The sequence below is a fragment of the Homo sapiens genome, chromosome 2 (assembly GCF_000001405.40).
Source record: "Homo sapiens chromosome 2, GRCh38.p14 Primary Assembly".
Classification (NCBI taxonomy): domain Eukaryota; kingdom Metazoa; phylum Chordata; class Mammalia; order Primates; family Hominidae; genus Homo; species Homo sapiens.
Genome location: NC_000002.12, coordinates 189195793 through 189223370, shown reverse-complemented (window position 1 = coordinate 189223370; position 27578 = coordinate 189195793). Strand labels below are relative to the sequence as shown.

The window sequence follows — 27578 nt, the reverse complement described above, 5'->3', positions numbered from 1 at the left end:
AAAAAAAGGAAGTGGATATGGATTAGGCAGGTGTAGGCCAGGCTAGCTATTTGCATAGAATTCTGTTCAGTGTATGGCTTTGTTGCATTAACTCTTATAAGTGAGATAGTCTGGAGGAGGAAAAAAATGTTAAATTTGGATGAAAAGCTGGCTTTTCCATAATGGCTTCATTCAGTAATTATTTTGGTGGAGATTTTTTGTGTAAGTCATTTGAAGAAATTTATTGCCTAATGAACATAAGATAAGATATTTTGTTATAAAACTAATTTATATGGGAGCACATTTTTAGCTGGACTGACTTAGACAAAACCCAGATATTTAACCTTTTTAATTGAAATTTAGTATTTATTTATTTATAGCCTTGAATGTTATCCATGAATTATTCTAATATACTCCTGGGAACACTCACACTGGGTGAATGAGAATTTCTCACCGTAAGAGACTAGATTAGCCTCATATGAAGTAGCTTTCAGGACCAATGCTGGCTTACTCTAGTCTTGAGATCTATTTTTCATTGCTTGGTGATATACTGTATTCAGCCTGTAACAGAGTTATACTGTTGGGATTCTGGGAGGCTTTCTACTGGGCATTAGTGATTTCCTTTCCTAAACTACAAACACAACTGCCCCTTCTGAGGAGGAAAGCAGGCAGGTTTGCCTTGGCCAAAGTCCAATGGCCGGGAGTCAAGCCCTTAAGTGCTTTCTCAAGTGCCCAGCCTAGTTTCTCTGAAGATCAGTCTGCTTGGTAGCCTAAGAAGGAAATTACCCGGTCATTTCTGTTCTGGCATTTGCTAGTACACAGCTGTTTCTTTCAATTCTGTAGAACAAACCTGAACTGGCACCTTTCCTGGATAGGAGGATATCACTGGCAGGAGATAGAAAATACTTTTCATTGACGTACAAGGGTTGGAGAATATATTATGAAAATCATACTTGATAACATATTTATTCATTAAATATTTCTTATCTTTGCTACATAGTATTGTTTCTAAAATGATTTCTAACACCAACAAGAGCTTGAAATACATATATATGTGCTCTAATACTTCTTAATATGTGGACCACACCCTCAATCCTACTGAATCTGAATCTCTAAGGAAGGGGCCTAAGAATTTCCACTTTTATCAGTCATCTCAGATAATTCTGATGTACACTAACATTTGTGGACATCTGGCTTAAACTCAAAAGCACATTTAGACTAATTTACCCTACTAATTAGCATCTGTTTGAGAATAAGAGAAAAGTTAAACAGCAACAAAATGATAGTGACTTATCTGAATCAACTAAAATAATGTTATGCATTTTTAAGTGTTTAATTCTAGTAATGCCCTATAATTTTTTTTTTTGAGGCCTCAGGCCTGTGACTCAGAATGGACTCAGGGTGTGGTACAACTGTCTTATGTACACATTCATATTTCAGAAGACAAATATCCTTAGATTTAAATCTTGAATAGATCCACATTATAGAAAACTCCATTCTGTAGAAATGCAGTTATAGTGGGGTTCCAGCATTATTAGTTTGTCAAATTTTAGTCTAACTTTTATAACATTGCCATTGACTACCCTTGCTGCCTGTGAGGGGTAGATAACAGAAGTATATGAAAAATATGAATGAATTTTTCTTAGGGACATGATCTATTAGAATAAGAAATCTTTCTTTGCAAGGGTCAAGAACTACTCCTGTCTAAGTTCCATGTGCCTTCTTCAATCCTTTATCTAAATGTAAGCTTACCTCAGTCACATTTCTTATCTTATAATAAAGAGGTTGTAATGTCTGAATATAGACTTCACATCAAATATGTGCTTTCAGTGTTAATGTTAACATCATGGTTATTATTATTATTATTATTTTAGCCTTTCATTCTAACATCCCACCCCTCTTCCCCAAGGATTTATGTTCCTATGTATCAGTGAATGATAAGACCTTAATCATATCCTGAGCAGCAAGGTAGAAACCAAGCTTTATTACCAGCACAGGATACAATTATCTAGGTCTTTATCCATTTCCAAAAAGAATTAGAATAACTTTCCTATACCTTCCTCAGCTATTTAAGATAACCATTAGACTGCAACAAAAGCATGATTCTGAGTAGATGTAATCATCCATGAACAAAAGCTGAACTTCAAACTGGTTTATGCCGTAATTATTTTTTCTAACTCAGAGTGTTTAAGAGTATGAATATTGCCTTATCATTTTGATTTCGATTTCTGTTGAGATCCAGTATAACAGCTCTCCACCTCTGTGAATCGTGAAAATGTGAATTTACAGATAGTATTTTTAGTTGCAATTCTAGAAAGATTTTTAATAGCCTTCTATGGATTTACTTATTCATTCATTCATTAACTGATATTTGAACACCTATTATGGGCCAGCCACTCCTTTTTGCCCTGGAGATATGACAGTGAACAAAACTGATAAAAAACCCTGAGCTCAGAGAGCTTATATTTTAGAGGGAAGAGATAAGCACTGAAACTAAAAAATGAGAATAAGTTAGAAGGTAATTAGTGCTATAAAAAATGATCAGGGTACGAGTGATGGGGAGGCCTGGGTGATGGGCCTCATGCTCATGATCTTGCCACAGACCACAGTACATCAGAAATGATACTGAGATGCTAAAATATTGTTTTGGGCTTTTAATTTTAAGTATTGTAACTGCTGGTGATTTATTTTCTCATTTATAACCAAGATGACAGATGTTGATTTTTTCCAGATTCCTCTAAATTCAAGATCTTTCTAAAATACATATTTACCTGAAATAGTTTATTTGGAATGTATATCTAAGTGATATTTGATTTAAAAAAATCAGAGACTAAAAATTTTCTTTTTATATTGGCTAATGTGGAAGTGATTGGCATGTTCAAACCATGGAAGAACATTTGCACTTATCCTTTTTTTTTTTTGTTAATACACCGAGCTTATTAGAGCTGTAACTGTAAAATACAATTAAAATAATTCTGAAGAAACAGTTTTCTACTAATTTGAATTCTCTAAAGAATTTTCTCACTAAGACATTGACTTTGGAAAATGACAGACTTTCTGGTAAACTTTACACACATAATGAAGAAGGGGAAAATTGGGCAATGAAAATTATTTTTAGTTTTCTGATAAGATGTTAACACACATAGAGAAAATGGGTGTTATGACTGTGTTGGACACAGCAATATACTACCTGGATCTCCCTTTAAGAAAAGTCTTGTTGTCCAGGTGTCAGCCCCTTCAGGGTGGGCCTCAGCTGCAGAGTGTCTCTTCACCTGAGGTCATGTCCTTCTTGTGGCAGCTGCAGCTAGTGACAGCCAGGTGGGCATAAAGGCCTGCATTTCGACCCATCATGAGACATTATAATAGGCCATTTGTGCTCTACACAGAACTGCTACATAATTTTATGGCTTAGTGCACAATGAAAATGTGGACCCCTTTGTTCAAAAATTATTAAGAATTTCACGATGACAGTATGGTATTAAACTCAGCGAAGAACACTTCTAAGAGTGGGGGGGGGGCACTCTATCTGCACAGGTCATGTATCCGTGAAGCTGTCCCTGGTTCCATAGCTCCCAGATGCTAGGCCAGGGGTTATGTCAGGCTTACACGGTAGTTCAAACCTAGTACACAGCTTATTTCACTAACTCAAGCAAGTTGCTTACTTTTCTAAATCTCAAAGACTTTATAATAAAAAGTTTAAACTATATGCTTTTCCCATTCATTCAGAGTTCTAAATACCATGATAGGAGAAACTGTGGGATCTATAATTCTATCTTACCTAAGTTATTTCCAAGTGTTTTATAGTGTAATCTACACTTTCTTGCCTAAGTCATCATGAATGTGATGATTTTAATCCATTCAGTTTCCACCCTTACATAAAGGTAGTTCCAGATTTTTGTGAGGCCTGAAATGTATTCAATTTGAGAGACTCTCTATAAGGAAAGAACTACAAAATTACAAATATAAATTTGGTATGAGAGTGAATATTTATTTAGAATGAAAAAATAAATAATAAGTTTGAACGTAAAAACCTGACAAATACAAATATAGAAGAGTTTTTTGACTGGAGTGTTAACCAGTCTTTTTTATGTTAATGTTTTTGGCTCCTACTAGAACACTTCCTGTTACATATGGATTTTGGTATAATCAATAATTGTAAGAAATACAAAAGATTAACCTTAAAGTAAGGCATAACCAAGAGCAATTTAAATGCATTTTTAAATGGCTGCTATTTTGTATTGTATGTTGACTGATACATGTGTGTGCACTAGCTTTGTTATTGGAACACTAGCTTTTTCAAGCAATTTTTTTGCTGCATCAGTGGCAATTTTGTGGATTGTTTGCTCTGAAAGTACCAGACTATGCCAGGGTAAGGTAAATCAGATACAGTAAAATATGAACTAATATATCAAAATGCATAAAACAAGCATTTCTGCGCACTGAAGTAACTTCCGGTTTTTACTACTGTTTTCATCCTTCAAATAGAGGTGTCTGAGAAGTTCATTTTTTTTTTCTGCTTTCCACAAAAAGAGCAAAAAGAATATCTCGTGCATTTATCATTGTGTGCACTGAAATATCAAGCATACTGTTGACTGTAGAGAACTTCCATTTTGACTAGGCGTCAATGAGAACCTAATGTTCCAATTCAATTGTACACAGCTGATGACTGGAAGAATTTTCCACACACTCGTTGCTGGTTTTATACATTTTAAACCTTATCTTTCCCCTACTACCCACATATTTTCATTGCAAGATACCATAAGACATGTTCATATTAATATATAAATTCCAGCCCTGGGTGCTGGGTGTTTCTTCCTTTTTTATGGCTTAAAACAACAGAAATTTATTCCCTCACAGTTCTGGATTGTAGAAATTTGATATCAAGGTGTTGGCAGGGCCATGCTCCATCTGCAGGCTCTGGGGGAAAATCGTTCTTTGCCTCTTCCCAGCTCCTGTTGGCTCCTAGTAACCGTTTGTGTTTCCCAGTTTGTACACAATCCCTCTAATCTGTGCTGTGTTGTCATATGGTCTTCTCCTCTCTGTGTTCACTTCTCTTCCTATAAAGGAACCAGTCATTGGATTTAGTGTCTACTTTAGTCCAGTATGGCCTTAACTAGCTACATTTGCAAAGGCCTTATTTCTAAATAAGGTCACATTCTGAGGTTTCCAGGGAATGGGAATTTGAGGGAGAAAGTATTCAACCCATTATGAAAACCTATAACAGCAACTTATATCTGTTATTATTAGTTAGAAAGTCTCATCAAACACCTCAGTGTATCTGTTAGCATAACGTTCTTAGAATCCATGACTATCACAGAAAGGAACCACTGAGCAAACCTCAGAAGTGGTCACAGCAAAGGTGGAGTGAGCACAAGGAAAACCACTTCTGCACATGACCACATGGATGCTGTTTCGTGGATGAAAAGACCATGATTCCAAATTCCTGAGAATAGCAGCTCTTTGTTGAAGGAAATCTGCCAGAAAATCTGCCTGTGAAATACTAATGCTGAATGTGATTCCATGAACTCTGCGGGACACCTCGAATGTGCTCTGAGCGTCATCATCACAGTCCCTTCCTCACTGGGTGTGTGACAAGCTACTCAGGAAAAGGCTAGGGAGAGAACAGGATATGCAAGCTTCTAAACATACCAGGCCTGTCTGGACCACCCGTAGAGATGCCCCAGCTACACTAATGACATTGCAATTCCCTTTTGGAAGCTGCGCCTCTGCTAGACTTTCTTATCAAGCTTAGCCCTGAGTTTTTATGTTGCAATGCTGCTTCGGTCAGTAAAATGGGTAGGAGCATTTCTGGAAGCCATTCCCACACTAGGATTGTTAGCCATAATGTATGTGTGTAATGGACTGTGAACCACACACACACACACACAAATCTCACTAAATCAAAAGTAAGTGTTTCCCCAATTCAGCTTCTTAGTTGGATCCCCAAAATGCTTGTGGCTACTCCAACAGCACTGGACCACAAAGGAAAGAATGACAAAAAGGAAGCCAGAGTGGCCTTAATTTATTACAGTTAAAATATCTTTTTTTATACTTGTATTATAAATATGATTATGTGCACACATTGCTGCGGCATATCCCAGAGCTCAGAAGGGCAAATCCACTCTGCTTTTACACTGATTACGGTCCTTTTAAAGGAATTTATGACCTCTAGTCCTGGCATCTTTCTATGATAACAAGATGCTGATGCCTTTCTTACTTCAGAAAGTGAATAAATGCAAAAACTGTACGGAACTGTTTCATTATCTGTAACTAATGAATCTTCATTCTTAAATAATGAAACAGAGTGTTAATTTTTTTTTTGAGAATTATTTTATCAAATCAGGCAGACAGAATGCAACATGGTCATATCGATGCTTGTTGTCACTTTCCCCCTCTCTCTCTTTTTTATCCTCTTTTGAGAGTTACCTTCACCTAATTTTGCAATTTCTTCATGTTGTCCCTCACTGCTCAGTGAAGTATCCATGGATCTGCCCATGCCTTTCCCCTCCAGCAAATTTAGGTTTCATTAGACCCATTAATAATAAAAATCATACATTATTGAGTATACACAATGTGTCCAAAGACAATGTTGAGGGCTCAGGGTGTTATTAAACTTATTTAGTTACTACTTTTCCTTTTTGAAGAAATGGAGACTGAGAAAGCCTAGATAATTTACCCAAGTTCACACATCTCATAAGTAGCAATGTCCAGAATTAGAATTGTGATTTGCTTGACTCCTGAACTTGTGATCCTAACCTTAAGACTGTATTACTTTTTTTGAATCCTACTATCTGCCCTCCAATGTGACTGCTATTTAATTTGGTTAATTCACCCTAGTGACAGATATAACCTTGATTGTAATATCAATTAAATTATAATATTTTTAATTTACATACTAGATTTTGAAATCCCAAGGCAGCAGGCATCTCGATTTTTCATGCTTTGAATTCGCATCACCTAGCTCTTAGAGAAAAGAATATTGAATGAATGAGTTAGTGAGTTGTTGAATAAATCTAACAGCAGCCAGTAGAGATTAGTGGCTTGACTCAAAGGGATGAATCTTAATATGGAATTCCCAGGCTAAAGTGGGAGGTATTTGGAGGCAATAGAACCTTTGGGACATTACTGTTATCTCTCAAATCATTCCACATAGCTGTCATTGCATAGTACCAATCATGAGAAGAAAAATATTATTTTCATTTTGCAAATTATATTGATATTATTACAATTAATTTGACTTGCTTTCTTAACTTGCTAAAAATGTGACCAAAGAAGTGTTTGTTACAGGGCTCACACATAATTGAAACCACTATTTTATATTTTATAGGAGGAATGAGTTCTTCTCAAAGCCCAATAGCATGTTTAGTTTATTGATACTGAGGTGACTAGCTTAGTAATTGAGCCACACAAGGTAAGTGAGGAGAGGTGAAAAGAAGAAAAATCTGCACCTGTAACCATTTTTGCTGTGCTAGTTACAGGGAAGAAGCATTTGAATTTTGGGAGCTTTCCTACTTTGGAAGAGGTGGGAATTCCCTTACAGTTCTATGTCATTAGCTATTACTTTAGCTAGTTTTTTAATTTAGAATAGGCGAAAGAGGTAGAATTGAATTTTGATGAATTCTGGACAGGGAAACTACTTTTAGAAGACTAAAAGTTTGAAAACTGAATCTTAAGAGTCTTTCAAAAATGTTTTAAATAGATATGAATTTAACACTGTATATGTCTATATATATATTTTGTTTTTTCAGAATAGCACTGCCCAAAAGATATGTAATGTGAGATATCAAATGCAAGCCACACATATAATTTAAAGTTTTCTGGTGGCCACATTAAAAAAAGTAAAAAGAAACAGGTGTAAATAATTTTAATGTTTTATTTAATCCAATATATCAAAGTATTCTTATTTCAACATGTAATCAACATAAAAATTATTAATGAGTTATTTTATATTTTATTTTTTATGCTACATTTTGGAGAAATCTGATGCATATATTACTCTTACAGCATGCAGAATACAATCAGACTAGCCACTTTTCAAGTGCTTAATAGACACTTCTGCTTAGTGGCTACTGTTTCAGACAGCCATGTTCTTAGAGTGACCAACCATCCCAGTTTCCTTGGGACTGAGGGTGTACCTAGTATATGGGATTGTCAGTTTTTAAACTGGGACAGTCACAGGTAAACAGGGATGATTAGATCACCCTACGAGATCTAGCTCTTCTTTTATTATGTGTAACTATGTATAGATTTGTTTCCACTGTAGCTTGAAATACTCAACAGAGAATGAATCAGAAGACCTAGGTTCAGATGCTAGATCTGCTATTTATTACTATTGACCTGCGTGTCAATAAGAAATTCCATTAATTTTTCTGAGGCTGAGTTATCACAATTTTAAACTGAAGATAGTACCACTTAACTCACAGGAAGTTCCTGAGGATTATAATAAAATTACATAGGAAAATATATCTAGATCAGGTCCTGGCAAAAGCTGATAATAATAGGTGCAGTTGGATACAGATTTCAAGTACAAAATTTATCTAAAGGAATTCTTTATATTATCCATATGGAAGAAAACAAGTACCTTTTGCAGAATTTCAAATTACCACAAGAAACTACCCATTTACTACTGAGAATTAGTCACATTGGTTGGTTAGTCAAGCTACAAGGTTGCCATGAACTCTTTTGTCTTGCCTGCCCTGCCTTACCTGGCCTCCTACTGCTCTCCCTTTTTCATCAGAAAGGAAGAAATCACTTTTAACTGCCTTTCGCAAATTACACAGGTAATCCACACTTTTTAAAATAAATATTAAAAAATGAAGATAGAGAAATTTTAATAAATTACTCTGTAATTTCACTTCCCAGAAACAAACTCTATGAGGATTTTTCGTCATTTCTTCTTGGAATTTTCCCTATATGTATGTATGTATAAAGGGAAAATTATGCACACAAATATAAGGATATATGTATTGTTTTTATATAGTATTGTTGTGTCTAACATGACATGAATGCTTTCCATGTCATTAATTAGGCATCTCTATTAGTTTCATTATATTAATTTATTATCTATATAGGATTTATAATTTATTTAATCAAGCTGCTATTGTTGAACATTAAGGTATTTCTACTTTCCTGGACATAAAGAATAAGGCTGTGAATAATATGTCTTTGTTCAGGCTTCATATTTTTAGGCATAAATTCTTAGAAATGGAATTGCTGAATAGATGAATATAAGCTTATCTATATTTTTAAGGTTTTTTGATATGTTTAATATGCCATTTTACATATTTTTAAAAATCTATGTACACAAATAACTATAGAAGTGTAGAAGTAGGTGTGTCTTTTACCCCACATCTTAGTTTACACTAGGTACTACCATTAAAAACATTTTTCATTGTATAATATAATCCAGATACAAAAACACACATGCATATATATGTATATGTGTATATGAAATATAATAAGGCAAATAGCCTTGTCACTATACCCAGATCAAGACGTACACATCCAGCTACCCAGAAGCCTTTCTGTGTGTTCCATCCTGATCACAACTACTCTCTACTTTCCTGCAGAGGAACTGTGAAAATATCCAGGGACTCTCCTTACTTTTGTATCAATCCCTTTCTTGCATTTCTCTGTGGCTTCATCACCAACTATGTATTTATAGGCATTGGGGTTCACTCTCGCTCATGATTTTAGGATGGTATGTCTCTTAAGTCTTTTAATCTATAAATTCTCTCTCCAGTCCTCCTCCCTTTCGGTTAATTTGAGGAACCCAGGCCATAGCCTGTAGTTTCCTACAGTCTGGATTTTGCTGCTTGCATAGTGATGGTGCAGTTCCTCTTCCCTCTATATTTCCTGCATATTGACAGCTGGATCTAGAGACTTGATCAGAGTTAAATTCAATCATATGGCAAGATCACAGCTGATGTGTTCTTTCTTCAAGAAGCACATAATGTCTGGCTGTCTCTGTTTTTATGACGTGTTTTGGCACACTTTCAGTGTTTGTAGGAATATTATTCTTCTCTGTATTCTCCTTTTGTTATAGTAACTTTTTATAGCATTTAATCTTGATACTTTTCTCTTGGTCATTTTTTAAAGTTAATTTGTTTTTTCTGAAATTTTAGAAAGAGGCTTGGTTCAGATGATTTTTCTAACTTTTTATACAACTCCCCCCTTTAAGATTTTTAAAAATATAGTGTTAAGGCAGGGCGTGGTGACTCATGCCTGTAATCCCTGCACTTTGGGAGGCTGAGGTGGATGGATCACCTGAGGTCAGGAGTTCTAGACCAGCCTGACCAACATGGTGAAACCCCGTCTCTACTAAAAATCTAAAAAATTAGCTAGTCATGGTGACATGCGCCTGTAGTCCCAGTTACTTGAGAGACTGAGGCAGGAGAATTGCTTGAGCCCAGGAGGCAGAGGTTACATTGAGCTCAGATCGCGCTGTCACACTCCAGCCTGAGCAACAGCAGCGAAACTCCATCTCCAAAAATATATATATGTGTGTATATATATATATATATATATTTAACACTATATTTATAGTGTTAAAAATTATAGCAGCTTACTTTTTGAGAGTTCCTGATTCTCTTGTTTCCCCCTCCTCTTGCCACCCCAATTTATCTTGGTCTTGCCTTTCCTTTGTCTCTATTGCCCATCTACCATTCAATTTTTCTTTCGCTCCTATCAGTGTCATCTCAGTGTAGGGGCCTGTGCTGGAGGAGAGCCCTGGCAGATACTTTTTTTTTTTTTTGAGACTGAGTCTTGCTCTATTGCCCAGGCTGGAGTGAAGTGGCACGATCTCGGCTCACTGCAACCTCTGCCTCCTGGGTTCAAGCAATTCTCCTGCCTCAGCCTCCTGAGTAGCTGGGATTACAGGCGCCCACCACCACGCCCAGCTAATTTTTTGTATTTTTAATAGAGACTGGGTTTCACCATGTTGATCAGGCTGGTCTTGAACTCCTGACCTCAGTTGATCAGCCCACCTCTGCCTCCCAAAGTGCTGTGATTACAGGCATGAGCCACCGCGCCCAGCAAGTTTTAAGAATTCACAGGAGACAGATTGCCCCAGCCCATTTGATGGGCCTTTTTCATTCATTTGCTATTGTATTTGACAAAATGCCTCCTAGTTCCAGTAAGCTCGGTAGCATCTCAAGGTATAGAGGTGGCAGTGGAAGCAATTTGCCTTAGGTACAGGCAGGAAGGAGGCCACGTTGTCTATGTAGAGGTAAAATACAGATGAACTACTGAAGGTTGATCTGCTTTGTATTATCAGCCTGCAATGGTTATTCTAAACAACGTAAGTGATAAAATAATCCCCTCACTGTGCCACCTCCTCCTCTAAGCCTTTGATCTCAAAGTGGGCTATGGGATTTTTAAGTGAATACTTGCTGGCAGCTATTTTGGGGTTGTCCTGTCATTTCTCAAGTCCATCAAATGCACTTTCCTTGCTTTCTTTTGCACAGCTTCTCAAATCACAGAGGCTCGAGGCTATTGGTGGTTTGTACCCACACATTTATATATTGCCATCAAGTTTTGTTAAAAATGTTGTCCATGAGTTTTTGGTTTTACTTTCTTGCTGCTCTTTTAATGTAGGGTTTCTGCTAGAGCCAAAAACTATGCAGTCACTGTATCTGTCATCTTCACAGGCTCCCTCCCCCCTGAGTATTTTCATTTTTAATCTTTGTTAATTTGAAATGTAAGAAATATTACTTCATTGTTTTTTAGTTTTTGTTACTTGATTTTTAGTAAGCTGGTAATTATTTTCTTATCTATTTATTTGTGGCCATTTATATTTTTTAAATATATGGACTGTCTGTAGTTTTGCCTATTTTTCTACTGGAGTCTCTGCCTTATTCTCATTGATATATAAGAACTATTCTTAATATATAAACTTTAACTCTTGGTCTACACTTTCTATAATAATGATAATGATTTTTAACAGTGCAGTACTTATCATCTAATTTTTTGGCACAATATAGTTTTAAACTTAAGGTGAGAAAAGTTTTTAAGTTTTTAAAATATGTGTTTTGATTATATTTGGAGAGACCCACCTACTGGTTGTTGGAGAGTTTGGTAAGTTTTACTGATGAACAATATTTAGTGAACGTCATTATAGGATAAAGAACAATGAAATTTTGGAAAGCATCAGGATTTCTTAATTTGAAATGATACCGAACAGTGTTACTCCCATTTTAGATGATCTCTATATGCTCTGGCCTGTTAAACAAATCATAACTGAAGTTTATATAGGGCTTCACAATTTACCCACGTCTTTCGCTTATATGATTTGAGCCTCACAATAATTCACATACTTAGAAAAATAACTGCCTGAAGTCTGCAGTAATAGATTTCTTTTCCAAGTGAAGTCTGCTTAGTTATAAATCTCTAATTGCTAATGGCGATAAAGGGCAGTATTAGCAGCTACAGTTAAAAAAAAATCCTGGGGAAATCAGTTAGCAGTCATTGGCCAGGAAGTGGATTGTTTGCAGATTACTTGGCATAGATCCCCATAAAGAAGCAAACCTTCGGTCCCACCCCTTCACTCTGCTTTTCCTGCCTCCTCTGTTCCAGAGAAGCAAATATTTAGACACATTTGAACCATCAAAACCAGCAGTTTATACTAATCTGGACAAAATGAGTTATAAAGACCAGATGATGCTTAAATATAGCTGACAAGATTTTAACTTCATACTTTGAAAAACGTTATAGATGACCTTCTTTTAGTGTTTTCTCCATTGGTATTAAGTTAAACATTAAAGAAAACCCTAAAGCACTTTGATGGAATTTGGAGAATTATTTATTGAATAAAAGTTTTTGGTTTTTGTTTTGTGAATGTCTCTTTAAATCAAAGTTATTAGTTCCTATGATGCTGCAATTCTGGTGAGTCAGAAATTCACCATATTTGGATTTTCAGTTTTCCACTTTCAATGGCTTCCTCTGTCCTTTTTTTTTTTTTTCAAGCTCAACAAATGTAAAATATTTTAATCAAGTGAAAACAGACGAAAATATGACTCATTCTCCTCGGCTAGGGTTGGTTTGCTGATGTCATTCCAGTCTCTGCGGCCAAAGCGTTCTAAGGAGCATAATCAATCTTGGGGATCCTGCATTTCAGTTAGGAACTAAAGCATTTCATTTTAAACTCTCTTTATTTCCTTTTTTCCTCTTCTTTTTGTTTCCTCCAAAAAAGAAGAAGAAAAAAGAAACAGTTGAATAGTTTCATACTTTTCTTGTGTGTCATGCCACATACATTTTGTTTCATCCCTCATGTCTTCATTTTGTTGCTTAATATATATTTCTTCTGAAGACTGTTTGCTATTCTTTATGTAGAAAAAAGGACCAGGAGGATTTATATTTAACGGCCTGAAAACTCAGCTCACTCTTTTTCCCTAGCTTCCCTTTCAGGGCGGCATTACCATCTGCCTTCATGGCTTCATGTAACCTCTTTATTCTCAGGGCTCTGAAATCTTTATCTCCAGTGTCAACTTTTTTAAAGCACCTGACTCAAATTTAACTTTCAGCTGACATCACTCTTATAAGCATCTTTAATTCAAAATATTCAAAACTGAATTAATTAGTTATTCCTATCAGGAACCCCAAACTGATCTTTCTGTTTTGTTTTCCATTGCAGTTAAAAGCTTCATCATCTACTCAGCCAAAATTAAGAGTCTGTAAGATTTTCTGACTTCTCCCTCTCCATGATCCTTTCTGTTGAATTAGCATCCAAATATTGTTGCTTCTTTCTCAGAAGTACCTCAAGAATTCAACCCTTTTTTGTTGTTAAAAGGAAGTTCTTTAGAACCAAAAGACTGAGGTTTAAATTCTGTCTCCAGCACTACTATCTGTGTGACCTGGGGCTCATTACTTGAAAACTTCCTGGGTCTCAGATTTCTGGTCTATAAAATGGAAATAAGTATAGTACCTCTGTCATGGGGATTATGGAACTTAGAACAGTACCTGTATATGTTAAGTGCTACAGAAATATTAGATATTATTATTTTTATCATTTAATCAATCTTCACTCGGATAGCCACTGACTTACTTTATCTCTTGGCTAGAATATTGAAACAGCTTTTTAACTGGTCTCCTAATTCTAGTTCTTCCCATTCCATTTTCTAATCCACAGTAAAGAGGTTATGTCAGTCAGGGGCCAGTCAGAGCAACAGAAGCCAAACTGAGTTTTTCAATATAAAGAATTGATACTGTATTGATTATCAGTTGTTAGAGGACTTAAAAAATAAAAGGAATCACTGTAGAAGCTTCTACCACCTATATAGTGCAGGGAACAGAGGCAGAAGGCTGAAGTTTTCAGAAAGTAGAAGATTAAAATAAAGACCCCCATGAAGCAGGGCTCAGACTTGGAAGAAGGGGCACTGCCTGCATGCTACTAGTACCTCCGAGGGGGCCAGATGAGGCCAGTTGTGGGAAAGCCAAAAAAAGTTCTGGTGCCATGGTAAGAGGATGTTGACAAAAATACAAAGCAAACAGGAGAAAGGGAGTCTTTTTTCCTTTCTTCCATTCTTCCAGTTTCCCTTTATAATCCAAAGAACCAGCTGATAAAAGAAGATTTGCAGCATCCCTGTGTCAGCATACCAGAACAGGGTACAGAAGTATGGATTCAAAATGAGAATCAATAGCTCAATAACCAATGTAGTATACTTTCTAAAACACAGATCATCTCTCTTCCTTAACTTTCACATCCAGTGGCTTCTCATTGCCTGTAGGATAAAGTTCAGATTCCTCAAATTCTGGTCAAAATAGAATTTTTCAGCTCTTTTCCCAATCCTTCGTTTCTATTCTTATCACTGCCCTTATCCTGCCTCCTAACTTCCAGTCCCTTCTGCACCATGACCTTTGCTCTGCAGTTCTTGTTTCATTCTCCTGAAGTATTTCATCCCTCCATTGTTTTGCATCTGTTGCCTCTTCTGCCATCCTTTTTATTGACAAAATCCTATTCATTCTTTAAGAGTCAGCTCCTTCATTAAACTGAGAGTTCTGGACAAAATTAATGACCTGTTCCTCTGTACTTCTATAGATTGTTTGTTCATTCATTCAAATCAAGTGTGTATGGACTCCTTATTATGTAATGGACATTGTGCAAAGCACTGTACAACAATGAACAAAACATCCTTGGTTCCTGCTATGTGGAGTACCCTGAGGAAGTGACTTTTGAACTGGAATTGGAGGTAACAAGGGGGTAACTAGGCAAAGGAGGGTGGGTTGGAGGGGAGCAGTAATGAATTTGGATTTAGTCAAGTTGACTTTGATATCCCTTTGAACATTTAAGAGGGGAGTTGAGAGGATTGTTGCATAAATGACTTCGTAGCTCAAAAGTAATAGCTAACTGGAGAAATACATTTGGAATTTCTAGCATGCACACTCTAAGGTCTTAGTAGGAGAGGAGAGCAAGGCAAAACAGAGAATTATGGCTAAATTTTTAATAACTTTAACAATTAAAGTTGAGTCAAAGCGGATGACCCCAAATGGCAAGAGTAGCGATCAGAAACAAGAGGAACAGAAACAGTGAGAAAAAAATTCAAAAGGATGGATTAGCAACAGTTTTGAATGTTACTGAGGCTTAGTAAGATAATCATACAGATTTTTGCACTGGATTTAGTGACCTCATTAATGATCATAGGGGGATCCTTTATCCTTTTCAGTAGAGTGATTGCTCTGCTAAGTGGAGTAGAGTGAAGAATGAGGTAGTGAAAATGGAGACAGCTAACATGGAGAAGTTGTTTGAGAAATTTGGCTAGAAGAAGTGACCTAGAATACTTATTTCATTGTATTGTATTTATTTACTATCTTTTCTAACTAGCTAGCATGTACACTTCCTGTAGGCAGGTTATTGATCTTTGCAAACCTTAGCACTAAGACCAGAAACTGGCATTTAATGGATGCTTGATAACAGAATTGTATGACTGGTGAATGCTATTAAAGGGAATTAATTGAAATTGTAAAATAACAAAGCAAGTGCTTTGTAACTTACATTTAATAGAATGGAAGCTAAAATATTTGTTAATTTTTTTCTTGAGTTATTTTTGACATAATTTTGAAAATATGGGTCAGTGATACAAAAATATTTTGTTTAGTAAAAGTTAAAAAAAAGGATTAGAGGAGTCAATGAGAAAATGCAGCCAATTTTTGAAAATACCATAATATGAAACTCCAATTCACATTCCTCTAGTTTAAGTTTGAAAAGTCATACACATATCCTAATTTAATTCCAATTTAGCATACCCAAACAGAAAACTAAATTTTCTTTTGATCTGCATTGGTATTACTAGTTTACTTCAAAAAATATTTTCCAATCTTTTAAGTGCAAACATGGTTATTTTTCAGTCTTTTGCATAAAATCCAAGGTTATGTTTACAAAAGTACATTTGTTATTCTTAAAAGTGTACATTAGAATGATTTATAAAAATTGTTGGCAATGTTACAAGACAAATAAAACAATTTTAATTTAGGCTTCTGCATTTAATAGAATTTACAGGTTCTTATTTAATCACTGCTCAAAATTCAGTTGAAACAAATTATCAGAGTACCTTGGGCCAATTCTACACAACTTTCGAGTATGTGTCATTGTTATCCAAATCTTCCAAAGTCATCTTTCACAATCCTGCTGTCCTCTGTGGCTCTTCATGCCTTCCCCGTGTCCCCCATATTTTATTGATCTCAAGCAACTTCCTCAAAATTGCTCTCAGTGTGAATAGGTTGGGCAGATACTGTTTCAGGTAAGTCTTTGTAAATGACAAATAAGGAAAGATTTTCCTTTCCTCTGGTGGTTATTCAGACTTGGCCCTAGTCCTTCATGGTTTTAACAGGGGACCACTCCTTTGCTTGTAGAACTTCTATCCATCCCAGGGTGTATTTTGGAGAAGAAACTTCTTATATTCTCAAATTACAATATACAGGGATATATAGGCAACTACTATTTGTGCCTCAGCATGCAGTTGGTCTAAAGGGCACACACATGTAGCATGAAAGCATATGTGCCCTCTGTTCAAGCTGAGTGTAGGCCCTTAGGTTTCTGAGAGTGTCATAACAGATAAAGACAGCAGAATTTGGTCTGGGATGCTGTACATCTACTGCTTTGTTGAATTTACCCGCTTTAAGCTTCTTTCAGCATATGGTTGGTTCAGTCTTGGCTGTTCTTGCTCTTGCCATTTGTTTATGTGATTATGGTAACTCACTGCCCTTCCCGGTTCCCCACTTCCCAGCTTTGACATAGTCCTAACTACACATCCTTTCTATGGAGTCCACCAGTGAGCCTGAATTCACTTAAACTAGCTTTTTCCCTAGTTTCCTGTTCCCTACTTAGCTCCTTTACTCCTGGGCTGTTATGTGATATACACACCTAGTAATCATCGAAAAGTTTACCGCAGACTTAAGAAATGGTAACAGCAGTTTGTTAAATGGGGAGGAGCTTATCACTCTCCTACTTTAAACAGTTTATTTTAAGACACAGGATTTTGGTGGGGTAATAAGAAGTTGTTCTATAATTACTTAAAACTTCCACCAATTTTTCTAATAAATGTGATATCCTAATTCTATTATGTTATACAAACTTCTAATTCATAAAAAATCATTATTTTTGCTTCTCTAGTAAATTATGTTTTTTTAAACCTAAAGGTCTTATTACTATAGGAATCACAAGAAATTAAAATATGAATGTAGATAACCAATAATTACTGACATTTACTATGGGCCAGGTGTCCTATATGCAATTACTTTACTAATCTTCATATTAATTTCACCATTTAGGGAACATTGCTTCCATTTTCCATTCAAGGGAAGAGTGGTTCATAGTGACTCAGGTAACAAGTAGGTTATGAACATAAGAATCAAACCCAAGGCCAAATATAAACTGCTGTTTCTGAACATCAGCATTCAGTTCCATTATTTTGCTGAAAACTAGAAGTGGCCATTGCCTTGTTTAGAAAAGTAACCTCACATTGTAATTAAGAACATGAGATTTGGGATTTGATTTCCTGGGTTCATATTCCTTTTCTGCTACTCACCAGCACTGGGTCCCTGAACACATTACTGAACATCTCCAGGACTAAATGTCTGTGCTAATGAAATAATCCACATAAAGCACTTAGCACAGTGTCTGGTATAGAGTGAACACAAATGTTCTTTGGTTAATTCAGATATTTTGGCCTCTTTAAAGATTTCTTCTCTTTTGGCTAACAAAATGGGAAACAGAATAAGCTGTGTTTTTAAGGCAGGAGTCTCCATATTCTTGTGTGAAGAAATTATACTTCTTTGCTTCTTTATAAATGACTCAACATAAAGGTGGGAGGTAGAGGTGACTATCAATAAAATCCTTCAGTGAAACAGAGATCAAGTGTCACTGTTGTTAGGATAACGGTGTTAGGAGTCTCCTTCCCTATTTCCAGGTGTGAAAAACTACAGAGAATGCTGCAGAAAGATGTGTGGTAGTTTTAACTAGTTTAGAGTTTTATGAGATAAAACATTAATATCTACCAGGAGATCCCAAGACCTGGGGTCACAAATAAATCGCAGGTATTCTACCACTTCTCACTCCACCATTCCAAGCCCATAGAAGACATAATTAATTCAACACAACATAATTAATCCAAGACAAGATAGAGACTTGTACTCAGGCTCTTCCCACTACAATCCTCCAGGCAGTCACATGAATCAATCAGGAGTTAAGCCACAGGATGGAACCTGTTTGTGGTCTTTGATTAAGTCCCCATATTTTTATAGTATTAGGACAGAAATCTAAAGGAAAAATGAATTAAAGGAGAGAGATACCCTAGCATGCTGAAATTAAAGTTTAAAGATGAAATGGATTCATTAGTTCGAAAGTGTATGTAAGACAATTTAAGAATTACTGAAATATGAGTCATACAGATCTAAAGCTGAATCAGCAGGGAAGTAGACACACATGAACTCCTAGTTTAGAAACAACGGAGGTTGCAGTAGATTCTTTTAAGAAAGAAGTCCTTAAAATTTTGAAGAGTGGGAGAAGTAAGGTACTATGGGGATATTTAGTCATTATTCAATTAGCAAACATCTTTGGGCAAAGCCCTGCTTGATGAATGGAATGGTGCTTCTCTTTCATTTTCATTTTTGAAATGTTAAAGCGACCTAAACTTCTCTATAAAATAGCATAATTTACAACATTGGGGAATTCAAAGAGCTTTATGTGAAAATGCTTCATTCTGGCTGGGCGCGGTGGCTCACGCCTGTAATCCCAGCACTTTGGGAGGCCGAGGCGGGCGGATCACAAGGTCAGGAGATCGAGACCATCCTGGCTAACATTGTGAAACCCCGTCTCTGCTAAAAATACAAAAAATTAGCCGGGCGTGGTGGCGGGCGACTGTAGTCCCAGCTACTCGGGAAGCTGAGCCAGGAGAATGGCGTGAACCCGGGAGGCAGAGCTTGCAGTGAGCCGAGATGGCGCCACTGCACTCCAGCCTGGGCGACAGAGCGAGACTCCGTCTCAAAAGAAAAAAAAAAAAAGACAAAAAAGAAAATGGTTCATTCTTAGACAGGGAAAGTTACAGACTAAGTTCTCCAATTTTATTCTCAATAATTTTCTAGCATTGCTTTTCTGAACTTCAGTGTGAGATATTTCACTTTTATTGAAATTTTCACACATATGTAACTAATTATTCATTTAATTAAGTCTCTTTTAGGCTAAAGAGTCACCAGTTCCTCTGGAGTTCGGAATATACTTGTGGAAAATAATAAAGTCTCTAAAGTAAGAAAAGAACTGTAACCATGTAAGTAGGGCGTGGCCTCGACCATGAAACTGGAAGTATTGCATTACAGCTAACAAGGTGACAAAAGTGCTTAGTACAGATGACAGATTCTGTAAAAAAATTTTAAAATATCAAAATGGCACTTTGTTCTGTAAACTTGCCGATACATTGCAACTTTGGGTATTTCTTTATGTCTAATTCAGCAGTTTTAGAAACACTAAAGTATTCTGCATACAGCTGTGTTCCTATTTGCACAGACTCCACATCTGCCAAAGCAAATACTGGTCTGCTCCCTGTAATTCTACCACTCCACTAGAGTTTCTCCTGTATTTATGGGATGGGTGTGTTGATTATAAGTTAGAGTTCTGGTGTTTGGTTCTTGACTACATTGTATTTAAGTTCATTCTATGCTTTTTTGGCTAAAACTTGAAAGCAATGCCACTTTTAGATTTGGGAGGGTGCAAATAAATAAGGCAGGGCGATTATATTACGGTCATGATATATCCTCATTGTATTTCTTTGACCTGTACATATGTTTCAAGTACTCATCTTTTCTTTTCTTTCCAAAATATACATTAAAGGGCTGCATTACAGATTTACATTTTATCTGTGCCAATGGAAAGTTACTGAATTTGAACTTCATTTTTAGCATTTTAATGCATTTCCATTCTACCATAGGAAAAAATACTTAGAGGAGGGGTTTGAAATGTATCAGTAATTGTATCATTCTGGAAGAATGAGCTGTTAAGCAGAACTCTTTTGAAGAATAAATAAGTTCATTTTCAGATTAGAAAGTTTAATAGGTAGTGAAATCAAAATTGGTAACTAGAAAAGGTTAATAAATGAATTTTATGTCTCTGATTCCACTTTCCTGCCCTCTTATCCTCATCCTTACTGTCTTGCCAAATCTCCCAACAAAGATAATGATTTTAAAGATGATTCTCAAATTCATCATGCCCATAGTATTATCTTCCTCAGAGTGAGTTATGGAATCTCACACTCTAACCCATCAATGTCAATTTACCCTCCACACTTATGTACTACTATTATCATTCTTTCTTTTGCTCAGTAGCTCACAATTTTCTACCACATGAATTCTAAACCTGGAGAAATTAATTTCTACTGCTTCTAAATGTGAACACTCTGCCACATCTGACCAGTTTACTTACTGCTTCTTCACTAAGTCAAGGTTATTCTAGTCTCCACTTGTTCTTCTCACCTCTCTTTCATTCATTCCAACTCCTGTCTTTTCTCAACACATGAGAATTCTGAACAGTCTATTGCTGGTCTGATAATCTGTTGCTTTTAACTGCATAATTCTGTTTATTCACATTTTCTGTGAATTACATTTAACATTGCATTTTATTCTTTTGATTTATTCTACTTTTTCTCTTTTCCTATTTTCTACTCTCTTGCTTTTGCAGGGAGGAGTTTAGTGCATTTTGTTTATGGTTCACATTGTATTCTCCCCCCACTGCTAGATTGTGTTTTTTGCATTTAATTTTTACCCTTTTAATTATTATCCTAGGTATTTTAACACACATATTAAAATTAACAGCCTAAAAATAATATCTTTAATCTCTTACCAGCTAAAACAGGAGCTTAAAATGCTTTACTTCTCAAATTCTATGAATATATATTTATTATTATATGTGCATATATAATATATATAATTTTAGTTTTATTCTATTTTTATTAACAGACTAGATTTAAAAATGTTTTATATGATCAATGGATTATTTAGATTTACCTATTTGTATATCACTTTTCCTTGCTTGTGTTTTCCTTTTGTACCTCAGATGTCTTTTCCGAGATAACTTTTTTCTTCCTAAAGCATATCTCTTGAGAATTCCACTGCCTTCTGATTTTTATTGTTGTTGAGAAATTAGCTCTTAGCTTATATGTTGTTCCCTTCAAAGCAGTTTGTCTTTATTTTCCTCATGCTGTTTTTGTAATGCTTTGTCTTTGATGTGCTACAGTTTCAATGCAATGTGTTTATTGATTATTTTATTTGTATTTATCCTTCTTAGGTTTTTTTACATTTCTCTAACTTTAGAATCAAGGTAATTTCTAACTTTGGAAAATTATTAGCCATTATCTTTTTGAATATCTCTTTTCCATTTTCTTGTTTCCCTCCTTCTAGGATTCTAATTAGATATTTGTTAGTACCGTGTACTCTAATCTCTATTACTTCTTGTGCCTTTCATGTTTCTCATTTTATTGTTTTCCTGTGTTGCATTCTGTATATTTTCTTAACTTGTATCTTCCAATTTTTGAATTTTCCCTTTAAATATGTTAAGTCTGCCTCCTTTGGATTAACTAAGTATTTTGTATCATTTCATGGACTTATTATTAAAACCTCTTTTTAATATTTTGTTAGTGGTTGCTAGGCTTTAGGATATGCATTTTTAATGAAGGTTAATCATCATATGTATTGTTAAACTTTCCAACAGTATTTTTCCAATTCCTTTTCACATCTTTTGTTCTACCTTTATCATATAATTAACTTTTTATATAATTGCTAATATTGTTGCTTTAGAGATTCAATTATATTTTAGAGTAAAAATAATAGTCTTTTTTGTTTTTTAAATAAAATGTTTACCTTCACTTTAACTATTTCTAAAGATCTTATATTTGTGTGTGTGTAGATCCAGGTTTCCATGATATTTCTTTTGTCTGAAGAACTTTAACATTTCTTGTAGTACAGGACTGCCAGTAAGGACTTACATTAGTTATTGTTTGTGTGAAAGAAAGCCATTATTTCCTCTTAATTTTGAAAGATAGCTTGCTGGGGAAAGAATTTTTGATTGACATTTTTTTTTATTTCAGTACTTCAAAGGTGGTGTTCCATTGATCTTCTGTCTTGCAATGTTTCTGATAAGAAATTTCATGTAATTCTTTTTCCCTCATTATGTATTATATCTCTTTATTCTGGCTGCATTTTCTTTTTTAAGGCTTTCAGGAGCATAAATACAAAGTGTGTAGTTGTTTTGTCTTTGGTATTTATTCTGCTTGACATTTTCTGAGCTACTTGAATCAGTATATTTTATTATTTTGGGAAAACTCTTGGTCATTATCTCTTCAGTATTTTTTTCTGTTTTATTCTCTCTCTTTTCCCTCTATTTGTATTGCAATCCCATCTTCTTCCCATATTGTTAGAATCCAGCTTACTTAGCTACCCTATAACCTAAACTTTCTGCTGGGTTAAGGAAAAATTATAATTTTGAAGGTTATCTGGCATTTAATTACTATTAAGCTAGGAGTAATTCACTTAGCAGCTTCCTACTTTCTTGTCAGAAGTTAAAAGCCCTCTAATTCCATATTTATTTTGAGGTATTATCTAACAGCTTTGAGCAATTAAAGATGTGAAAATTAGTACATTTCTGCTTCTTTCTGCCTCCCTATTCTCCAACTCTTAATTTGGATTAGTTGTTTAGTTAATTTATTTTTTATACCATCAAGGTATTATTTATGCCATCAAAGTAAGACCAAAAAGATGGTACAGAACCCAGGGCCTGCCTTTATTACCCTTGAGCCTGAAGGTGCAAGGAAGAGAGAAGTTATTGAACCTGAGGAGATGTAACTGTAGGAAAAAGCTACTTCACTGGACTGTAGCCACTCTCTAACCACAGCTGGCAAGAGAGGATTGGGAGAATCAGTGCCCTGACCTCATTCTCTTTCTGCCTTTCAATCCCCTACTGTGCTTTCCATTGGCCTAACCCCAATAAAAAGCCAGAGGACAAGAGTGTCTGTTGATGCAACCTGTAATGGTCAACTTGTAGGATATAGTGATGTACAAAGAAGGATGGAGAATAAATCTGGTGGAGTAAAATGAGAAATCCAAGTACACTTATGTTGCTTCCTTTGGGCATTTATTGTATTTTATCTGTAGAAAATTTTGTTTCGCTGTATTTTTACAAAATTAGAACTTTGAATTGTACAGGCTTTTATAATTGGATTCTTAGGGTTCTGACTTTTATTTTACTTTTTGATTAGCCACAGTACAGCTTGATGACTTAAAGAAACAACTTTGTGGCTGTTCTAGATTCTAAAGAGAAGATAAACCTTTTGAAGAGAATACTCACCACCACCCCTCTATGTCCCTTTCTGCTTTGGTTATAAACATCTGTTTGCTTGTAGTGGGTGTGACCATGCCTTTTTTTGCCCTTGTGCCTAGTTAAGAGCTTTCAAAAGTATGATGGACATTTTTATATGTTATTGTACCTTTAATAAATGCTTTATTTCCCTCTAAACAAATTAAAGCTCTTGACTAAAAGGTATTATACCTTTGTGAATCTTACTCTTTAGATAATTATGGCCTTACTCCATGATCTATCTCCATTTTTGGCAATAGTCATGTGCTTTTATATTTAAGTTTTTAGTTATTACTTAGATAAAGGTTATACAAATCTTTGCTAAACATGAATAGAATTAATAAAGTGGCCAGTGTTGCTTTTTGATCATATACTGACCAATTAGTCAATTTATGGGAATCCAGCTCACAAAAAGTTTCAAAAAGATTTAGTCTTGATTTTTTCTCTTAAGGAGCCATAGTCTACTGAGGTGATAAACATAATCATATGAAAGGATAAATAATAGTATACACCAGCATATGATATGTAGGGAATTAAAAATTTAGGTTAGTAAGTGTTATAGAATTTTAGGGAAGGAAATGTTAGCATGGTCGAATGAGTGAATATATAAAGTGGTTGAAAAAAATTGTAAATTAAAGTAGAATTAGTCTGAAAATAAAAATTATCAACTTTCTCTTGCTTCCCAACTTGGAATGGAAACAAGTGACTGTTGCTGAGAAAAGTTTTTAGTTTACCTTTCAGGTTGAGAAATGGTGGCTTGATGTTGACCATCATTTCCAATAATTGCATATTATTATTACCTTACTATATCCCTCAAAATGAAAACATATATGTTTTACAGGGGCAGGTACAGAGTTGATTTTCACACTTTTAACTTCACATTTTCACTATTATGAAAACAATTTCTGCATCCAGAAATTGATTACATTGATTTCTCAGGTATATCAGTAATGAAGGTGTCTGATAAATGACTGTTCATTATGTCTCAAACCAACAAATACAACTTTTTCTTGTCCATCCCATCTCTGTAACAAACTTTCTACCCTGTCTTTTCTTCACCACTGGATTTCTTCAAAAAGTGGTACCTTCTACTAAATGTCTCCTCTTTTGCTATTCATATCCCATCCAGTTAAACGTAAATTATATATGGTTTTATATTTATAAGATCTTTTGCTTATAATCAAATTATCACTGAGTAGAGATAAGAGATCCCACTTTACTCCAACAGTACTGCAAAACATAAATGATTGCCAGATTAGGTTCTGTACTTGTCAGCGCATTACTTATCTTTATAATTGTCTTTATACATCTTTATATTTATTATATAAAGTTAACATATCCTATGCATTCATTCTCCCAGCATCCATGTGGAAAATGGCCAGGATAAAGACTAACATACTCTTCTTCAGGTAGGGGTAATGTACTCCTAGATCTAAATATGTATCATATTAAAGGTTAAGGTAAGCAGGCGGATCACGAGGTCAGGAGATTGAGACTATCCTGGCTAACATGGTGAAACCCCGTTTCTACTAGAAATACAAAAAATTAGCTGGGTGTGGTGGCGGGCACCTGTAGTCCCAGTTCCTCGGGAGGCTGAGGCACGAGAATGGCGTGAACCTGGGAGGCGGAGCTTGCAGTGAGCCTAGATCGTGCCGCTGCACTCCAGCCTGGGTGACAGAGCGAGACTCCATCTCAAAAAAAAAAAAACAAGAGCCTATGAGAAACTTTTGCCACGTAAGAGGAAAATATTAATTTGAAGCATCTGGCCATACTGGTAATTTCTGTTCCTTAGAGATATCAAACAGATCCTGCCTGAATGTATTTGTATGAAGTTTTGCTGGAGTGTTCTTCCCTGGAATTTCTCACAGTTGGCTACTTTTTTTTTTGTCATTTGAATCTTAGTTTAACGATCATTTGTAGAATAAATAAATTAACCTAAATGGACATTATTTAAAGCTAATTTAGTTGCATTAGCAAATCCTTCCTTGCCACAACAAAGCATACGAGTTCTTTTGTGTGCCTTCATCTACCACCCAGAAACAGGGAATAGCATTAGGAACTCTTTGCACCTTCCCTTATTGATAATTTTTTAATTAATTAATTAATTTTTTATTTTACCTTAAGTTCTGGGTTACAAGTACAGAATGTGTAGGTTTGTTACATAAGTATATGTGTGCCATGGTGGTTTGGCACACCTATCAACCCATCATCTAGGTTTTAAGCCCCACATGCATTAGCTATTTGTCCTAATGCTCTCTCTCCCATCGCACCCCAACCCCCTGGCTGGCCCCGGTGTGTGTTGTTCCCCTCCCTGTGTCCATGTGTTCTCATTGTTCAACTCCCACTTATGAGTGAGAACTTGTGTTTGGTTTTCTGTTCCTATGTTAGTTTGCTGAGGATAATGGCTTCCAGCTTCATCCATGCCCCTGCAAAGGACATGATCTCATTCCTTTTAATGGCTGCATAGTATTCTATGGTGTATATGTATCCAGTCTGTCAGTGATGGGCATTTGCGTTGGTTCCATGTCTTTGCTATTGTAAATAGTGCTGCAAAAAAAATATACGTGTGTATGTGTCTTTATAGTAGAATGATTTATATTCCTTTGGTTATATACCCAGTAACGGGATTGCTGGGTCAAATGGTATTTCTGGTTCTAGATCCTTGAGGAATCGCCACACTGTCTTTCACAATGGTTGAACTAATTTATATCCCCACCAAGAGTGTAAAAGTGTTCCTATTTATCCACAGTGTCACTAGCATCTATTGTTTCTTGACTTTTTAATAATTGCCATTCTGACTGTCATGAGATGGTATCTCATTGTGGTTTTGATTTGCATTTCTCTAATGATCAGTTCCATCAACAAAGATCATTTATAGTTTTCTGACAAGAAAGTAGGAAGCTGCTAAGTGAATTACTCCTAGCTTAATAGTAATTAAATGCCAGATAACCTTCAAAATTATAATTTTTCCTTAACCCAGCAGAAAGTTTAGGTTATAGGGTAGCTAAGTAAGCTGGATTCTAACAATATGGGAAGAAGATGGGATTGCAATACAAATAGAGGGAAAAGAGAGAGAATAAAACAGAAAAAAATACTGAAGAGATAATGACCAAGAGTTTTCCCAAAATAATAAAATATACTGATTCAAGTAGCTCAGAAAATGTCAAGCAGAATAAATACCAAAGACAAAACAACTACACACTTTGTATTTATGCTCCTGAAAGCCTTAAAAAAGAAAATGCAGCCAGAATAAAGAGATATAATACATAATGAGGGAAAAAGAATTACATGAAATTTCTTATCAGAAACATTGCAAGACAGAAGATCAATGGAACACCACCTTTGAAGTACTGAAATACTTTTTTCATATGTTTGTTGGTTGCATAAATGTCTTCTTTTGAGAAGTGTCTGTTCACATCCTTTGCCCATTTCTTGATGGGGTTGTTTTTTTCTTGTAAATTTGTTTAAGTTCCTTGTAGATTCTGTATATTAGACATTTGTCAGATGGGTAGATTGCAAAAATTTTCTCCCATTCTGTAGATTGCCTGTTCACTCTGATGATAGTTTCTTTTGCTGTGCAGAAGATCTTTAGTTTAATTAGATACCATTTGTCAATTTTTGCTTTTGTCGCAATTGTTTTTGGCATTTTCATCATAAAGTCTTTGCCCATGCCTATGTCCTGAATGGTATTTCCTAGGCTTTATTCTAGGATTTTATGGTTTTGGGTTTTACATTTAATCTATCGAGAGTTAATTTTTGTATAGGGCAT

General features: G+C 35.4%; 1 protein-coding gene across 3 annotated transcripts in view, besides 1 other annotated feature; it reads left to right on the top strand.

The window, feature by feature from the left end:
* COL5A2 (collagen type V alpha 2 chain) overlaps nucleotides 1–27578 on the top strand; it is a 409214-nt gene that overhangs the window by 217741 nt on the left and 163895 nt on the right. The gene's annotated exons all lie outside the window — the stretch shown is intronic.
* Nucleotides 5553–6425: an enhancer, noted in NCBI's record as "OCT4-NANOG-H3K27ac hESC enhancer chr2:190081672-190082544 (GRCh37/hg19 assembly coordinates)". NCBI's record gives its function as "activates a minimal SCP1, AML or CMV promoter by ChIP-STARR-seq in primed H9 embryonic stem cells {active_cell/tissue: H9 hESC(primed)}" and the evidence as "EXISTENCE:reporter gene assay evidence [ECO:0000049][PMID:30033119]".